The sequence below is a fragment of the Homo sapiens genome, chromosome 2, assembly GCF_000001405.40.
Source record: "Homo sapiens chromosome 2, GRCh38.p14 Primary Assembly".
NCBI lineage: Eukaryota > Metazoa > Chordata > Mammalia > Primates > Hominidae > Homo > Homo sapiens.
Window position 1 is genome coordinate 62,979,899 of NC_000002.12, and position 16,705 is coordinate 62,996,603.

Consider the following 16,705-nt stretch of genomic DNA (forward strand, 5'->3'; position numbering starts at 1 on the left):
TAAAGAAAATTTTAATTTTAACTTCAGAGATGCTCAATTTGGACATCTTTGGAACATTTTACATTTTTAAGAGAGGTATATTCACAAGGCTTGTGAGCTTCTTATTTCAAAGGTATATAACCTACTTATCTACTAAAACATGCCAGATACTTGCCCTGAGTTAATCTTAGAATGCAAAGATCACTCTGAAGAGTAGGCAAGTGAAGACTCGAATAAGACCTTAGAGCAGCCATCCCCAACGTTTTTGGCACCAGGAACTGGTTTTATGGAAGACAGTTTTTCCACGGACCAGGAGGGTAAGGAGGGATAGTTTCAGGACAAAACTGTTTCACCTCAGATCATCAGGCATTAGTTAGATTCTCATAAGGAGCATGTAACCTAGATCCCTCACATGTGCAGTTCACAATAGGGTTCGTGCTCCTGTGAGAATCTAATGCCGCTGCTGATCTGACAGGAGGCCGAACTCAGGAGGTAATGCTCATTCGCCCTGTTAGGCCAGGTTCTTAATAGGCCACAGACTAGTACTGGTCCATGGCCCTGGGTTTGAGGACCCCTGCCTAAGAGGGCCAAAACAAAGGTAAGCTATTTCTAGGTCAATGATAAGTTTCCTCAAAGTAAACTGAAACTTATTGCTGTTATTTCTTATTGTTTCCTTATATTAAAAGCTTACTGTAGAAAATTCTAATGCTTATAACATCTAATCTTCCATCTCATAAATTTGAAAGCTTCTTCCCCACACAGCTGTGTATCTGTCCCTCTGGTCTTCTCAGAATGTCTGTATCTTAGTTAAACCCATCTTGCCAGGTACAGTGCCTCACGCCTGTAATCCCAACACTCTGGGAGGCCAAGGTGGGAGGATCACTTGAACCCAGGAGTTCGAGATCAGCCTGGGCAACATCACAGGACCCTATTGCTACCAAATATATATATATATATATTTTAATTTTTTTTCACGTGTCTTTTTTTTTTTTAAATCATTGCCTTCAACCAACTCACGCCCACTAAAAAAAAAATTTTTTTTAATTAACCAGACATGGTGGCACACACCTGCAGTCCCACCTACTCAAGAGGCTGAATCGGGAGGATCACTTGAGTTCAGGAAGTTGAGGCTGCAGTGAGCTTGATCATGCCACTGTCCTCCAGCCTGGGTGACAGAGTGAGATGCTGTCTCAAAAAAAAAAAAAAAAAAAAAGAATTCTTCATCTTCCCTTTTCGACTCCTATCATGCAGCTATCATGCAGGATTTTTATTGCAATTTCTACATTCTCTACTACAGCTTTATAGTAAGATCAGTAATTATGCACAGCTACATTTGTGTAATACTATGACAATTTGCTGTCATTTATCATTAATAATTAGATGCTTCTTTTATCGTAAAAATCTTCCAGATATTCTAAGTAAATCTTAATAAATCTTTGCCTCCTTATATCTTTGAGTCATGGAAAAACACCATATTCTTATGCTCCAGATAGGCTTCCTGAAGCTATTAATGCCACCTTCCTGTGGCATCATAAAGCCATGTAGGAGAACAAATAATAATAGGATGAAGGGGCAGTTGGTATCTATTTTTTGTTTTTCCCAGTAGTGAGCAGATAACAATGCTAAATGACTTGTAAGTGCTGGGAAGGCTAAGGATTAAAAATCCTATTAATGATATGGGATGTGTCAGCTATACAGTTGGTCCTATCTTTATAATCCAACTACACTTGAGGCTAAGCCAGGACTAGACTAGGCAAGGAGACTGTCAGTGTTACAACCCAAAGTGTGGTTGCTGCCTGGTAATGAGGGACAGTAAAGATCTGAATTTGCCATCATTCAACAGTCAAAGTAAATAAAGTAAACAAAGGACAAGTGAGGACTGGATCTATAGAGTTGGCAAGGAAATGGAGACTAGAACAAGGAAAGCCAGGTGAAATGAAGAAGGGGCAGGGTTTGACAAATGACTTATGAGAACCTCCTGAGGAGTCAGGTTTCTTATTCCTGAAGGAGACCAAAGTGACCAGGGTCTATTTTCCCCATAGGACACAGCATATCTTGGATGTTGGAAGCAGCTACATACCAAATGGTAGTCTGTTTGTGAGAACTAAGGTTGACCTAAGACAAATGACGCAGGCCTATTTCCTGTCCTCGGTGGTGGGTCTTGGCCTGTCTTCATAAAGGGATACGGAATAGACTAGGTCTCCTCTGGCCTCAAGGTCTAAGCCCTAGCTATTGAGAGTGAGAGTTGTGTAGAGAACTTTAGGACAAGGAAGAAGGTAAAATTCCTCTTGAAATTCAATGATTCATATACATTTATTTATCAAACAGTACCAGCGATTGTGCTTTGCCAGGATTTGGCAGACATCCTGGAAAGGGCCAGAGCACTGTAGGTTTTGTAAGCCATGTGCTGTCTGTCCCAGCTACTCAGTTCTGCCCTTGGTAGCCTGAACTTCCCTTTGCAGTCTTGAACAATATATGAATGAATGAGCCTGGTTGTTATTTACCTTCAAAAGACAGTAGGCTGGATGTTGCCCCTGGCCTGTAGTTTGCTCACCCTTGCATAGCAAATTCAAAATTCACTTGAGTTCACAAGAGTCTACTTTCTAAGTAAAAATGACCCTGATGAGGTTGTTAAGTCAGGGGAAAGAATTAACAAATTAGTGTCCACTCTTCTAGGGTCTAGTAGGAATCCTCAGGTCTGAAAAAAGTTTTGCTAAGGAGTAGTGTGAAAGGAAGAGAGAGAAATAACTTGAGACCAGCCTAGATGGAGAACTAGGGTAGGAAGATTTTCGAAGCAGTAGTCCAGAGTGATAAAAGAGGGTAGTGAAGAGCTGACATAACAAGGTGGATGCACAGCCTGGGGAATGTATTGAACATGATCATCACTCATACCCACTGCCTGAACTCACCTGCGAAAGCCTACTTTTTCTGTTCTCAAGCAGCAACCAGCCTCGGTGAGAAAAGGAAACTTACTAAATTTGAGGTGAGGTGTCTTCAGCTTCATGGTGTCCACAGAAAATACATACAAGGTATTTTAGGTCACCTGTAACTGTATATTCAGGCAATCAAGAGACCTATATCCTATTGCAACCAGAAATAGCCTAATTCTTGTGTAAATAACAGAATCACACCTCTCCTAGCAGCCATAGCCTAGCTTTCACTTACCCTCTGTTTGACATACTTGTGGGGCTTATGAGAAAACCAGGTAGTGTATTACACATGTTTTTTTCATTTTTGCATCATTTTGTAATTGTAGACATGCGATGGCCTCATTTTAAATTCCTCATTCTATGTAACAAACGATGTGGGTTGTATGAATCTTTCCTGACAAGGTACAGATGTTGATAAAGTTTAGTATTTTTGGTTTTAGTTATGTAGTATTGTGGTCAGGGAATAGGGCCTAAATTTCTGCTTTGGGAATTTATTAATGTTTTATTTTGGCCAAATACGTATTAAATTTTTGTTAATGGTCTATGGATACATTTGCAAGGAAGGTGACTACCTTGTTTTAAGATGATATTACATATCATGTCATATAGCACATGTATATATATTATAAAGTATATTATATATGATACATATTTTGTTATTATTTATTCCATAGCTTATCACTTTGGTTTAGTTAGATTAGATTAGATTTGCTTAACTTTAAACTGACATTTTTGCCTCTGTTTATTTTTTGAGACAGAGTCTCACTCTGTTGCCCAAGCTGGAGTGCAATGGCGCTATCTCAGCTCACTGCAACCTCCGTCTCCCGGGTTCTAGCAGTTCTCCTGCTTCAGCCTCCCGAGTAGCTGGAATTACAGGCACCCGGCCACCATGCCCAGCTAATTTTTGTATTTTTAGTAGATACGGGGTTTCACCATGTTGGCCAGGCTGGTCTGGAATTCCTGACCTCAGGTGATCCGTCTGCCTTAGCCTCCCAAAATGCTGGGATTACAGGCGTGAGCCACTGCGCCCGGCCTTTGCCTCCTTTTTATGTAGACAAAGTAGTATATTTTGTTTTGCATTTTGGATGAATGAAGAAATTTTTTTAAATTTTGCCCATGAGAATGTCTGCATGATCCTTATTATTTCAGTTATGGAAAATAAATTTGTTGAGCTGAAATAATATCTTAGGTCTTCAATAATTTTTATTTTTAGCTTCTATTAATAACATAATATCTGTATTGTGTTTCCCATCTTTTGTTTGATTTCTGTAGAATAACTTCAAAAATAATGAATTTTATGGGGACCTTTGTTGAGAATTTTAAAAATCATAAGTGAGAAATTTTTTTGGAATTTTTAAGTATGTTTTTAATGATAACTTCACTTTCTGTTTAAAAAATGCAGATATTCTCTCTCTCTCTCTTTTTTAACTGTCACCAGATATCTTGGTTTCATTCAATTTATCTATAAATAAAAAGTATAAGACTGGCCTTATTGACCACACGGTTGGGTTATCTATTTTACTTATAGTGCTGTGCAGTGTCAACTGGAATGCATTTTTACATTCAGTGCATATCTAATCTCCTTTTACCTTTTCCTGCACACACAGTACATAGCATACTTGCAAACCAGCTTCTGTTGTATAATGGATCTCTAGTTTACTTTCTGCCTTGTTCACCTACTGGGTTTTCAGTGTTTAACCATAAAGATATATTTATACATTTATGTAGTATCTTTAAACACACACATGCACATGCACTTCAGTTCTGTAAGAATACAGTTAGAGCATTTCTTACAGGTGTTAGGAAATATGTAACATTAACTGTTCAGAAGAATTCGAAGTTGATTGTAAAACTGAAGTCAATGAATCAAAAGAAAGTAGAAACCCATTCTTAAGAAGACCTGAGCTGTATAGATCACTTTTTACTCTTGCCATCCCAAATAGTAATCCTTTTATCTAAGGTTAGCAGTACCTATATGAACATTGAGTTAACCCACTCAGCATTACTGGGGAGTGGTAGTGTAAATGGCACCTGTTTAACATCATACAGGAACCTAGCACTGTATAAGTGGGTAAAGAAAGTAGGTGCCATTTCCTGGGTATCCCTGGAATCTGAAAGAACCCATATACAACCACATTTCCAGACTTACCTATTTTTTTTCATGGCAATGCCATCATTCTGTTTACTCGGGCTGGAGAGTTGATTGTGATGGTGGCCTCACCCTTACTCTCCTCAGTATCCCTTCTCCCACAGCCCAACATCCAGTTGATTTCCAAGTTACATCATACCTACTCCCAATTCTTTCATCCTAGGTTAGGCTCTCCATAGTGCTTGCCTGGGGGTTATAACAGTCTCCAACCTGCATTTATTGACTCCAGCCTTTGTGTTCTCCAGTCCAACATTTAGGTCAGCAATTTTGCATGACAGATGGTGTCACGTGCATAGGGCTGTCTTATGCACAGTCCCTAGACCACTTTTGCTTTCACATAAGAAGGCATATGAGATTGTGAGCAAGAGTGATATTATAGAAATAATAATTGACGCTGCTCTAACTTATAAAAGACATAAGCTTCAGTACTTATATTACTACTAATAAGTTATACCTACTTCACAACTGATGACAATAAGGTACTTCCGTTGAAAACTGCTTATGGAGATTGCTGTTAAATTAATCTTCTAAAGCACAGTACTGATCATGTTGACCACCAGTATCTCTGCATTCCTACCAAGTAAAAGTTAAACTTCCCATTCTGTCCTTCAAGACTCTCTGTAGGCTCTCTATAGTTTTGCCTTTCAAGTCTTACCTTCTGTTATTTCTCTTTAAGTATGCTTGAGCCAAATAGGACTTTACACCATTCTCTGAACATAACCTACCCATTCCTCCTTTCATGCCTGTAAAGCCCTCCCCTCAATTGTACCTCTTGAAATTCTATACATTTCTCAAGACCTAATTTAAAGGTTAGCGTTTCCAAGAAAGAATTCCTGGTGTCATTGGCAAAGAATAATCTCTTTATCTTTTGAATTTGCTCTGTACCTTATTTTTATCCAGTAACCCCCACCATACATGGTATTATAGTCCCTTGAATATGCCTTTAAGGTAGAATAAATGTCTCATACAACTTGGTATCTCCTCAACATCTAGCACAGTGTTTTTCATATTGTGTATACAGTACACAGTAGAAGTTTCTAGAATAAATGAAAGAATATTGAATTCTATACTCTCCCTCTAGATTAATTATATTCAGTAATCATCAGTGGAGGCTTATTGGCAGCAAAAAAGTACTACATTAGATCCCTAAAAACTATTAATAGAAGCTATCTCTGACATAGAATAATGCTGAGGAAGTATTCTGAACACTTTTTGACACACAGGAAATATTTGTTAGCTTATTTGCTAAACTACAAATTTTGAGGATAGTGAAATTGAAGATGCCCACTTCTGTGAAATGAGTCAAATAGTTGATAAGCTGAGCATAGTTGATTAGAAAAGATCTCACAGGTGATTGTGCTTAAATAATGAAGCCATGTATAATACCTTAGCTAGTTCTCTGAAAGCATTTAACAATGTTTTTATCTCTATGCTTTTTTGCCCCCCTGGTGTGGGGGGTGCATTTCTCAATCTTGTTTCTTTTTTCCTTTTTTTTTTTTTTTTTGAGACTGAGTTTTGCTCTTTCACCCAGGCTGGAGTGCAGTGGCGCGATCTCGGCTCACTGCAATCTCCACCTTCTGGTTTTAAGCCATTCTCCTGCCTCAGCCTCGTAGCTGGGACTACAGGCGCACACCACCACACCCGGCTAATTTTTTTATTTTCAGTGGTGATGGGGTTTCACCATGTTGGCCAGGCTGGTCTTGAACTCCTGACCTTGTGATCCACCTGCCTCAGCCTCCCAAAGTGCTGGTATTACAGGCGTGAGCCACCGCACCCAGTCAATCTTTTTTCTTTATTGTTTTCTTCTTCCAAATGGTTTACATAGTAGATGGGAAGTCTTCAATAAATGTAAACTATTGTTATTAATATTAATGCTCATAGTAAGCATTTACTTAGGAAGCCAAAAATCAAGCCTAAGGATGTACTTTTTCAGAAAGGGACAGATGTTGAGGGATTAAGCCAAACTGTAGAATTATCAATTGGAAAAAAATCTTCGGAATACCTCACTACTAATAAAAGTTGCCCAATTGAAAAAAAATGAGTTGCAGGGTAGTAGGGGTATTCTTCAAATCCCAGGGCTACAGAGCTATTTCTTCAAAAGGTACATTGCCTGTCTGTTGGATAGAAATTAAAGTTAAACCTCTAATATGCAACTAAAATTGCTGCTGTGCCTTTTCAAATGTATAGAATTCAAAATTACTGTAACAATTTTATCACTAGGATTTGGAGAGGAAAAAATATCTACTAAAAATCCTTAATGTCAAAAATTGACTCCATTAATTAATTATGACCCAAAACATTTTACTAGGGATATAAAAAATTATGTAAGACTTTCTCATTCCCGTATATTTAATTTTGGTTGACAATTTTTCCCAGATTTTGCTCTACCAAGATTTATTGTCTTAGTTGTTTTTGAATTTTCCATTGTATAAAGGCATTGTATATGCTAGTCTCACTCTTAATCTATCCATAATGTTTTTATGATAATATTTCATTAATAGCATAAAAGTATTTAAGCCTTCATGAAAATGACAAATATATATATGAGGAATGTGTGCTTATTTATGCATTTAAATCGAATAATCTGATAAAAGTGTAAAATTTAGAAATATTTGATGACTTTGTCACCAAACTAACTTTATTTTTGTGTGCCATTGTTAGAGTTACTTATAGATTACACTTTAAAATACAGGGACTCAATGAGCTCAGTGATTCAGAGACAGCGTGTGGCAAATTGTCAAAACCTTTGCATCTGCTTTGATGTGATAATTCATGTTTGACATAGGAATGTAAAATATAAATGTTAATCCAATAGTGAAAGAGTGACTTAAAACTGATTTCTTAACTTGCTTATCTGTGTCAGACCTGAATTTGAATAACTATACTAAAATACTGGTTTTTCTTCTTTAGTGTTTTGGATGAATGATATAAAATATAAATAATATACTAACATTATTGCTACATGTTCCTACAGATGAAAATGATAATATTGAGATAGATACTAACGAGGAGATCCCTGAAGGCTTTGTTGTAGGAGGTGGAGATGAACTTACTAACTTAGAAAATGACCTTGATACTCCCGGTAATTTCAAATTATAAATGTTTTGTGTCCTGCTGCATGGCAAACTTTATGGTTATATTTTTATTATCTCATCAATAATAATAATAATTTTGTAGTTTTATTACATCTTATGGCCTCATAAACCATTTAGCTTAGTCCACCTTCCATCAATTTTATGTTATTTTGTTTTAGGTTGGATGTTAAAATTAGCAATAACATTGGAATAGCAAATTGTAGTTTGTGTTCTCTTGTTACTAAGATTCACTATTGTATTTTATGTTATGTGAGATAATCTGTAGGTTTTCAATAGCTGGTTCCCTTCTCAGCTTAAATATTTTGGTGTGATGTCAGAAGGTATATATTCCACATGTAAATCCAAACCATGGGATCAGATTTTCTGATTTAGTTTAGAATTATAGTCTTAGTTATAATATTATTTTGCAGATTTTCTGCTTACCTTACTTAAATATTACTCTAGTAAATGATTTTACATATACTTAACTGATTACAATAAGACACTTTGAAAACTATATAGACTGCTGTTAAATTAACCTTATGTCTTATATCAATAAATTGCTTTGGCAATGGACCTTTGTAAGTTCTTATTTAAAATACAAAGATATTTGCTGGTGGTTTTTAATAGGTGAATGTTCCAAATGCATTGCCTTTATAAGCCAGCAGCAAGTAGCAATCCAAAGTTTTGTATATCTGAGGGGTTCCATAAATGCTTGTTGAGTTGAATTCTTATGGCAATAAAAAGTCTTTGGTGATTTCTTTAGACTCAAAGGAGGGAGGCAAAGTCTCTAATATTTATCTTTTCCTGTAAAAAGCTAAAGGGAGTGAGAGCAAGCATACTTTTTCCTATCCATGGCATGCACCTGCAATGCTAATCTGCTCCATTTCTTTCCCTGTTGGAAATACTATTATTACTTCAATAAACAGGTGACCAGGGTTTTCCTGACTATAACGAACACTCAAGAAAACTCATGCCCTTTTGTCAGTAGCTCCTTCATGGCCGGGTGTTAAATTATACTATTGCTAAATAGAAGTCAGTATACTTATAATTGTGCAAGTCCAAAAGAATGCTGATATTTAAGGAAAACTTTTAAATGTTTAACCCAAAATTAGAACTACATTTTACTTCTTTCTGTTTAAAATACTACAGAACTTGGTTAGGTTTGATTTTTTTTTAAAAAAACATTTTTGTTGCTTACTCACCTTCCCACCATAACCACCACCAAAGGCTTTATCGGAAACCAATCACATCTTTTTAATGCTGAGGAGGACATCCATAAGTACTGGATTTAATTTTTTAATACTCAATTTATGGAAGTATAAAAGCATAAAATCAGTAACAATATGTGATGCATATGTCCTGATTCTACAGTAGGTTAGTAACACAGGAAAAAATAGCCATTTCTTAGGTAAAATAAGGGGAGAATTTTCTAGTTTCAGCTGTAGCAACTTTGGGGGATACTTTAAAGATGGGTTAATTTTAATCCTAACAGGCTTGACTCTTGTCATTTTTAAAAACTCTCCTCCTACTTAATGTTTTCCAAAACGAACACACATCTCAGCCTTCCTGTTTGGAGTTAACTAATAAATTGTTTACGGCTCTCAAGCATGCCAGTTAAGTGTTGGCATGGAAGTAGACAGGCCTCCCAGTTCAGATTTATGGTTTATTTTGTGGCAATAAGAAATAGGAATGCAAACTAGAATCTGGAAGCCCTTAGAATATATTATGATTTTTATCCTTGCTTTATTTTCCCCCCAAATTTTTTTCATATGTATATAAGTCATAAGGTTTTAATAATAAATTGTTTAATCTTTATCTTGATTTGACCATAGTTCATCAGATATTGTTTAAAAGAGAAGCCTTGCAATATAAACTGACCAATTTGCATGAAAGTAATGACAATAGCATTTATTAAGAGTCTTATAATTAGAAAAGTTATTAATCTTTATGAAAAATATCATCCAGCAAATGGTGGACATATCTATTGCGACCATTTTATTGAGGAGTTGCCTTTTATTAATTTAAGAATTAGTTGTGTTTCTACTCATTTTGAACTATTGTATTATGAAAGATTAATGTACATTAATACATTCCAAAAATGTAATAATCTGTATTGTATTTCTGCTATCTAAGTAGAGGGTATTTGTAAACATATACCCTGTTTCAATGCTGGTTATATAGGTACATATATAAACACTGGATTCTAATAGTATGTACATGATGATGATCTGAGATAATGTTAAGAATTTGTTTTAATATGGCATTATATTTATAAATCTGATATACTAAAAGAAAACTACAAAATAATATTCAAAATGAAATGTATCTCTTCTTTTAAATATCTAGTTTGTTATAACAGCTTGTTTTATTATGTATAACATACAGTGCTTATATAAATGTATACATCACATACAGGCATAGGTTTTTAGGTAAGCATTAGCTACTATTTAACTATAGTATAACTAAGTTCTCTTTAGATATGTTGACTGTATTCTTTAAGGGGAATGATTTTGGTGGGGGAATATATATATGTAAAGGATTTTTCATGTGTCTAATCTACTAATATCCTTTTCTTCTTTCTTTTAAAATATAGTAATACTTTTCTGAGCTCACATAAAATTGACAGCCTACATATCTAAATGCATCTCACTCAGTTATTCATGGTATTTGCATATTTAACAGAACAAAACAGTAAGTTGGTGGACTTGAAGCTGAAGAAGCTCCTAGAAGTTCAGCCACAGGTGGCAAATTCACCCTCCAGTGCTGCCCAGAAAGCTGTAACTGAGAGCTCAGAGCAGGACATGAAAGTAAGTCTTACTTGTTTAAAACATTTGGCTTAGTATCTGTGTCTTCTAGTTTCTGCCAGGAGTTTGTAATTCCAAAAACAATTTTTTACCTAATTTTTCACCAATATTAAGATTAGGGTATAAGAAATTTTTACTGGTGAGGTGTGGTGGCTCATGCCTGCAAGTCCAGCACTTTGGGAGGCCAAGGCAGGAGAATCAGTAGTTCAAGACCAGCCTGGGCAACATATTGAGACTTTGCTACTAAAAGTAAAACAATTAGCCAGGCATGGTGGTGCATGACTGTAGTCCCAGCTACTCAGGAGGCTGAGGCGGGAGGATTGCCTGAGCCCAGGAGTTCAAGGCTGCAGTGAGTGGTGATCATGTCACTGCACTCCAGCAGCGGAGACAGGGTGAGACCTTGTCTAAAAAAAAAAAAAAAAAATTAATTAATTAAAAAAATTGTATTAAATAGCCAATAAGTAAATATCAATATGGTAATCAGTATTCATATACTATTTTTCAGGGAAACTACTACTTTAAACTGCTATTTCAAGTAAAAATAGAGGCAATATGGAAACTATTCTTGAGTTCTATATGTATGTATATTTTGCTAAGACAAATACTGTTAAGAGAATTCTAGCGCATTTTTCAATAATCCTCAAGCTTCTGCCTATATAGATGAACTAAATGTATGTTATTTGTAAGAATCATCACACCTGAAAATGGTAATGTGATTGAATATAAATGTTTAAGATAACTTGCATGTGTTTTGTGCCATTATGCATCTTACCTTGTGTAACATTTTAGTCAAAAATGCCACATTATAAGACTATTATTAGACTGTTTATATTATTCCCACCCACATGTTTCCCTGCTTTCCTCACAGTGATTAGTATTTCTGTAGCTTTAGGGCACTTCCAGTCCTGTATAACTTTTCACCCACCTGCGGACTATGGGGACTGCCCTGCTGACTGAAAGGATTTCCTTCCCCTGACACAGAGATGCTTTGAAGTCCCAAAACAATGACTTTCATTGCTTTTCCCCTATATTGTCAGTTTCTATAAATTGGTGATGAAAGTGTGTGGCAGCACCAGAGGACTTTTGGTCTCTATCTTTGAACAAAAGGAAGCCTGGATCGGGTCTGATTTTTTGCGTTCAATTTAGCTTTCTGCAGTGGATTTAATGCAGAATGAAGCTGGCCTAAGAATAATACAATAGATTGAAAAGGCTAACTGAATTAGTGGGTTTAGAGGAATACATTTGTAAAGTGGCAGAAGTCCCTAGTCATAAAAAGGTTTCTTAAGATGGGATTTGCTGGCTAATCGCACTGATATTTTAGCATGTTGCCAGGCCTAAAAAAATTTAGCTGTGTTTGTTTATTTTGGTAAAGACTTGAGTATTAGACTATTGGATAGTTATATAACAGTAGAACTCTATTTTTCTTTAAAAAAATAGAATAAAAGCCAAAACTGTTGCTATCATAACTATATGGCTAGGATATTATAAGCATGATATTAATGATAAATTCATTAGATAACTTTAAAAAAATAAAATAGTGTTATTTTCATTATTATGGTTTATCTGTATAGATAAAATTGGTTTTGCTTTCCAAAACACTCTTATATAGTAGTCTTTAAAGTTATTCCAACAAAAGGTGTGCTTTAAACAGCTTGCCTTTGTATGATTCCTTTTAGTTAAGATTTTGAAAATGGTGTTTATAAAGAACATATAGAGTCCATCTGTTCTCTTGAAGCTTTCAGCGTTGACTTGGGTTTTAATTTTTTTTAATAAAATGCAGTTTACACATTTATAAATGAGGCATTCTGTGTTTGTGGAAAAGAATAAACTGTTACCTTCCCCTGAGGATTCTGTATCCCAGGCCTCCTTGAGGCTAGAGAATAGGCCATTGGAGGGCTCCCTCATTACTGATTGTCTCAATGCAGAGGAAGGGCAAAGTCTTGGTAGCTTTTGATAACCAGTTTCAGCATTCAGCAGGCTTAGCTATTAGTCATGCATCTTAGCCTTTCCCTATTTACTTTCAAAACACTTAATAAAAATAATAAAAGATTAGGTATAAAATGAAATATTTGTTTGGTACACAGCACCTCGGTATCTGCAGCTTCCACACACTGCAGTGGTTCAGTCTTCTGGGATATTTCTTGTTGATAGAACCATTTGAATTTGTTACCAGTATTAACATAGGAAGCTCCGGAAAAGATAATTGTAGTTTCCTTAGCTGTAAAGGGCTTACTTACAAATCTGGCTTTGGAAAGTTATAGCTGATGAAATGCAGTTCAGTAGGGTAGTATTATAATCCTACCTTTTAGCCTTCATCCAGCATTAGTGGTTTATCTCAATGGGCATAAAATTAGAAACTAGTTCTTGTTGTCATACAAGTCTGTGGGGCTGTACAAACTGATGACACAGAATAGTGGGGGAAATAGGAGGCAACATGGCTTTTAAATGATATGTATCACTGGTGGAAGACACATTCGTATCAAAGTTATCAAGAGTTAAACCATGTGTCCCAAAGTTTGTGATTACAGGCAACAGAACTTGCAGTTGAGCTCTTTAAAGTGCTTTAAAATCCTTTTCTTGCAAAAAGTTTCTAAATCAGTGTTATCTTAAATCAGTAAAAATTGCCTTACTAATGTGTAATTTTATGTTTATGAGATCAGGACTCTCTTACCATGTGTTGTTTTACGTTTAGAGTGGCACAGAAGATCTCCGGACTGAACGATTACAAAAAACAACAGAACGTTTTAGAAATCCTGTTGTGTTCAGCAAAGATTCTACAGTCAGAAAAACTCAACTTCAGTCTTTCAGCCAATATATTGAGAATAGACCAGGTAGAACACTTTTTAAAATGTTTTTCCATGTTATGGTTTAACTATATATAGATATCTATATATAGTATATATATATAGTATATATATATAGCATATATATATAGTATATATGTATATAATCTGGTAATGTAAATTCACATTTCAATACACAAATATCAAGCTTTACAATAATTTTACATGTCTTTCCTCTTTTTTTTTTAAGAGATGAAAAGGCAGAGATCAATACAGGAAGATACAAAGAAAGGAAATGAGGAGAAGGCAGCGATAACTGAAACTCAGAGGAAGCCATCAGAAGATGAAGTGCTTAATGTATATTAATTTTTTGTGTGGTTTCATGATTGCTGATAATTCCAAACTGTATGTGGAAATAGTGCCTTTATTTGTTAAAATGAGATGTTAGGTTTTTTAAGATGTCAATCTCCAGTGCATTCAAAGCAGAGTGAGAGGGGTGCACTGTTGAATTAGTCTGCAGTGTGGTGATAATTGTCAGATAAAAAAAAATGAATTTTTCAGAGTTCCACAGCCCCAGTTTCCTTGAGACATTTCCATCAGGGCACTTCCCATAAAGAGATTCCAGTATTGATCTACTGGGAGGATTTTAATTATTACAATAGCAGATACCGCAGAGCTGCAGTTAGAGGGAAAAGTCACATGAGACCTGCTAGAATTTCTCAGCCAACCCATTTTGTTGGCTTGGGTTAATGGGTGTTCAACCTTTCCATTATCCAGATCAGCCGTGAATTACTAGCTGAATGATGTTTGCATTAATATAATATATATGGTAATTTCTTCACTTAATTAACAGGGAGGTTCAGCTCAGTAGGGGTATGGGCTGATCATGTGTAAAATTGATTTGTGAGGGAAATATTTGATAGACCGCAGGGAGAAAGCTGCTTTTGATGGACAGCTGCGGGACAGAAGCAGGAAGAACAAGTTTTAACTTGAATTTTTGTCTGGAAGCATAGCTCTCTTTAATAGTACTACTTTTTAAATTATCTACAGTTTTTCTAGGTATTTTCTCTTGTTTTCAGTGTTAAAATAGTTGGATTTTAAAATCCTTATACAAGTACACTCAGAGTCACCAACTACATTTTAGGACTCTAAAATCTTCTCATTTTAAGTTGTTTACTTTAGAAGACCTGGAAAGGGATGAGCTAGAAAAGAACAGCTCACTAATAATCCTGATGAAGTATTTGGTATAACTTTTAAGTTACAGAATACTTAACTATACTATGTACTCACACTACAGAAATCTGATTATGAAATTTCTTTCTATTTTTAACTGAACCAATCAGTAAGAGCAATGAAGTTTGTGTGTTGCTTATCACTTCTGCTTCCTTATGTATTTGTTTTTTGTATTATCTTTGCAAACTACTATATTTGTTTTGTCTGTCTGTATGGGAATGAGAAAATAAAATATCCCTTTTGAAAATGATCTGCTATCTGGCAGATAGGTTCAAGAAGCATTCACCAGATTATCCCAGATTTTAAAGTTACCATTAGCATTTATTCTATTATTTTATTTTTTTCTGTTATATTTTGTATTGAGATGGAAGAATATCCATTTTGCATAAATTTTTTAAAAATACAGTGACTTTTAAAATCAAACTATCCTGAGAAATTTAGTTTTATGATTTCTTAAAATATTTTAACTTTAAATTTGTCAACTGCCATAATCAATTTAATAATAAGTTGGTATAAATTGAGGTCACATATGAGTACAAATTACTTACCAGTTCAAAAGGTATGTAAGTTACACATATAGTTAGACATATTTATTAATCATGAGAATTCTAAAATATGCTCATAATTAACATAATTCTTTATTTTATTTCCTGTTTAAGGAGTAGTGAAATATAATTCTTTATAGCTTCTAAGAGATTCACATGCTAGGAAGGGAAGGGATTTTACAGAAGAAGTTTGTTCACATTTATTTCTCTGAATAAATAATGTTATAAGTGCTTATGATAGGAGTGGTGGTGGTAAGAATAATCACTTAATCAGTTCTTCAATATTTCTTAGCTAATTAGATCTCTTAGCCCCAAAAATGTCAAAAGGTAAACAGGTAATCCAAAGGGAGCCATAATTAATCAGTTTTTATGACTATACCATAAATAACCCTGACTTTGATGATTTAAATTTGTAATATGATTGTAAAAATTAAAGGTAAACTGGCACACATATATAAAAAATATATTTTTTTAAACATGGATGGTTCAAAAAGTAAATTTTCAAATTAAAATCCAAACTTGGCTAAATGGAAGATTAACCAAATCAATATATGAGTTTTCTTAGATCCTATGTAGCAAGGTTTGAAACCACCTGTCAGGTTAGTATTTACAACTGTAATAATTACTAATACATCAACAGAATGGCATATTAAAGTACAGGAGCCAGCTGGAGGGAAAATTGGAGATATTGTGAACTTCCCTTTTTATCATTTTTAAAGTATTTTAAATAATGTAATCATTTTGAAAAAAAATGTATCTCTTTAATTTTGTATTTCCATAGAACAAATTTATCTGACTCTCTCAGGTTGGATACTTTCATGGTCAATTCCTTACTAGAACTCCATTTTTGTGTATTACACTTTTGAGTTAAAAGTGCCATTGGTGTTTGTTTTGATAATCACAAAGGGGAAAATTATCTTCTTTGTCCATGCTTAAATAACTCTGACTTAACTCTAAGGAGAATTTTTTTTTTAACTTAGCATTAACTTTTAAAATCTGGCAAATCTGCCTGTGAAATTCTAAACATAATAGTAAACAGCTGAAGATCTCTCTATTTATAAAAGTTTGGTATATGTAATACATATGAAAATTTTTTGAATCACAGAGAGTTGCTTTTTGGTACTAAGGGTGATACTAACGGTGTATTTGGTTCTCTAGGTAAGTGCTTTACTAAGTGTTTGTAGAAAGGAAAAATGCAACTTACA

The 16,705-nt window shown here is 34.8% G+C and overlaps 1 protein-coding gene across 52 annotated transcripts in view; it reads left to right on the plus strand.

The window, feature by feature from the left end:
* The window catches only part of EHBP1 (EH domain binding protein 1), a 372,610-nt gene that overhangs the window by 306,021 nt on the left and 49,884 nt on the right, over positions 1–16,705 (plus strand). For 30 of the 52 annotated variants that reach the window (XM_047443744.1, XM_011532718.4, XM_047443745.1 and 27 more), the window contains 4 exons: positions 8,033–8,140; positions 10,818–10,942; positions 13,632–13,770; positions 13,973–14,079. In XM_047443744.1, coding sequence (XP_047299700.1) covers positions 8,033–8,140; positions 10,818–10,942; positions 13,632–13,770; positions 13,973–14,079 — 479 coding nt within the window. The remainder of the gene's footprint in view (positions 1–8,032; positions 8,141–10,817; positions 10,943–13,631; positions 13,771–13,972; positions 14,080–16,705) is intronic. The other 22 variants (NM_001142615.3, XM_017003650.2, NM_001354218.1 and 19 more) reach the window with 1 other exon arrangement.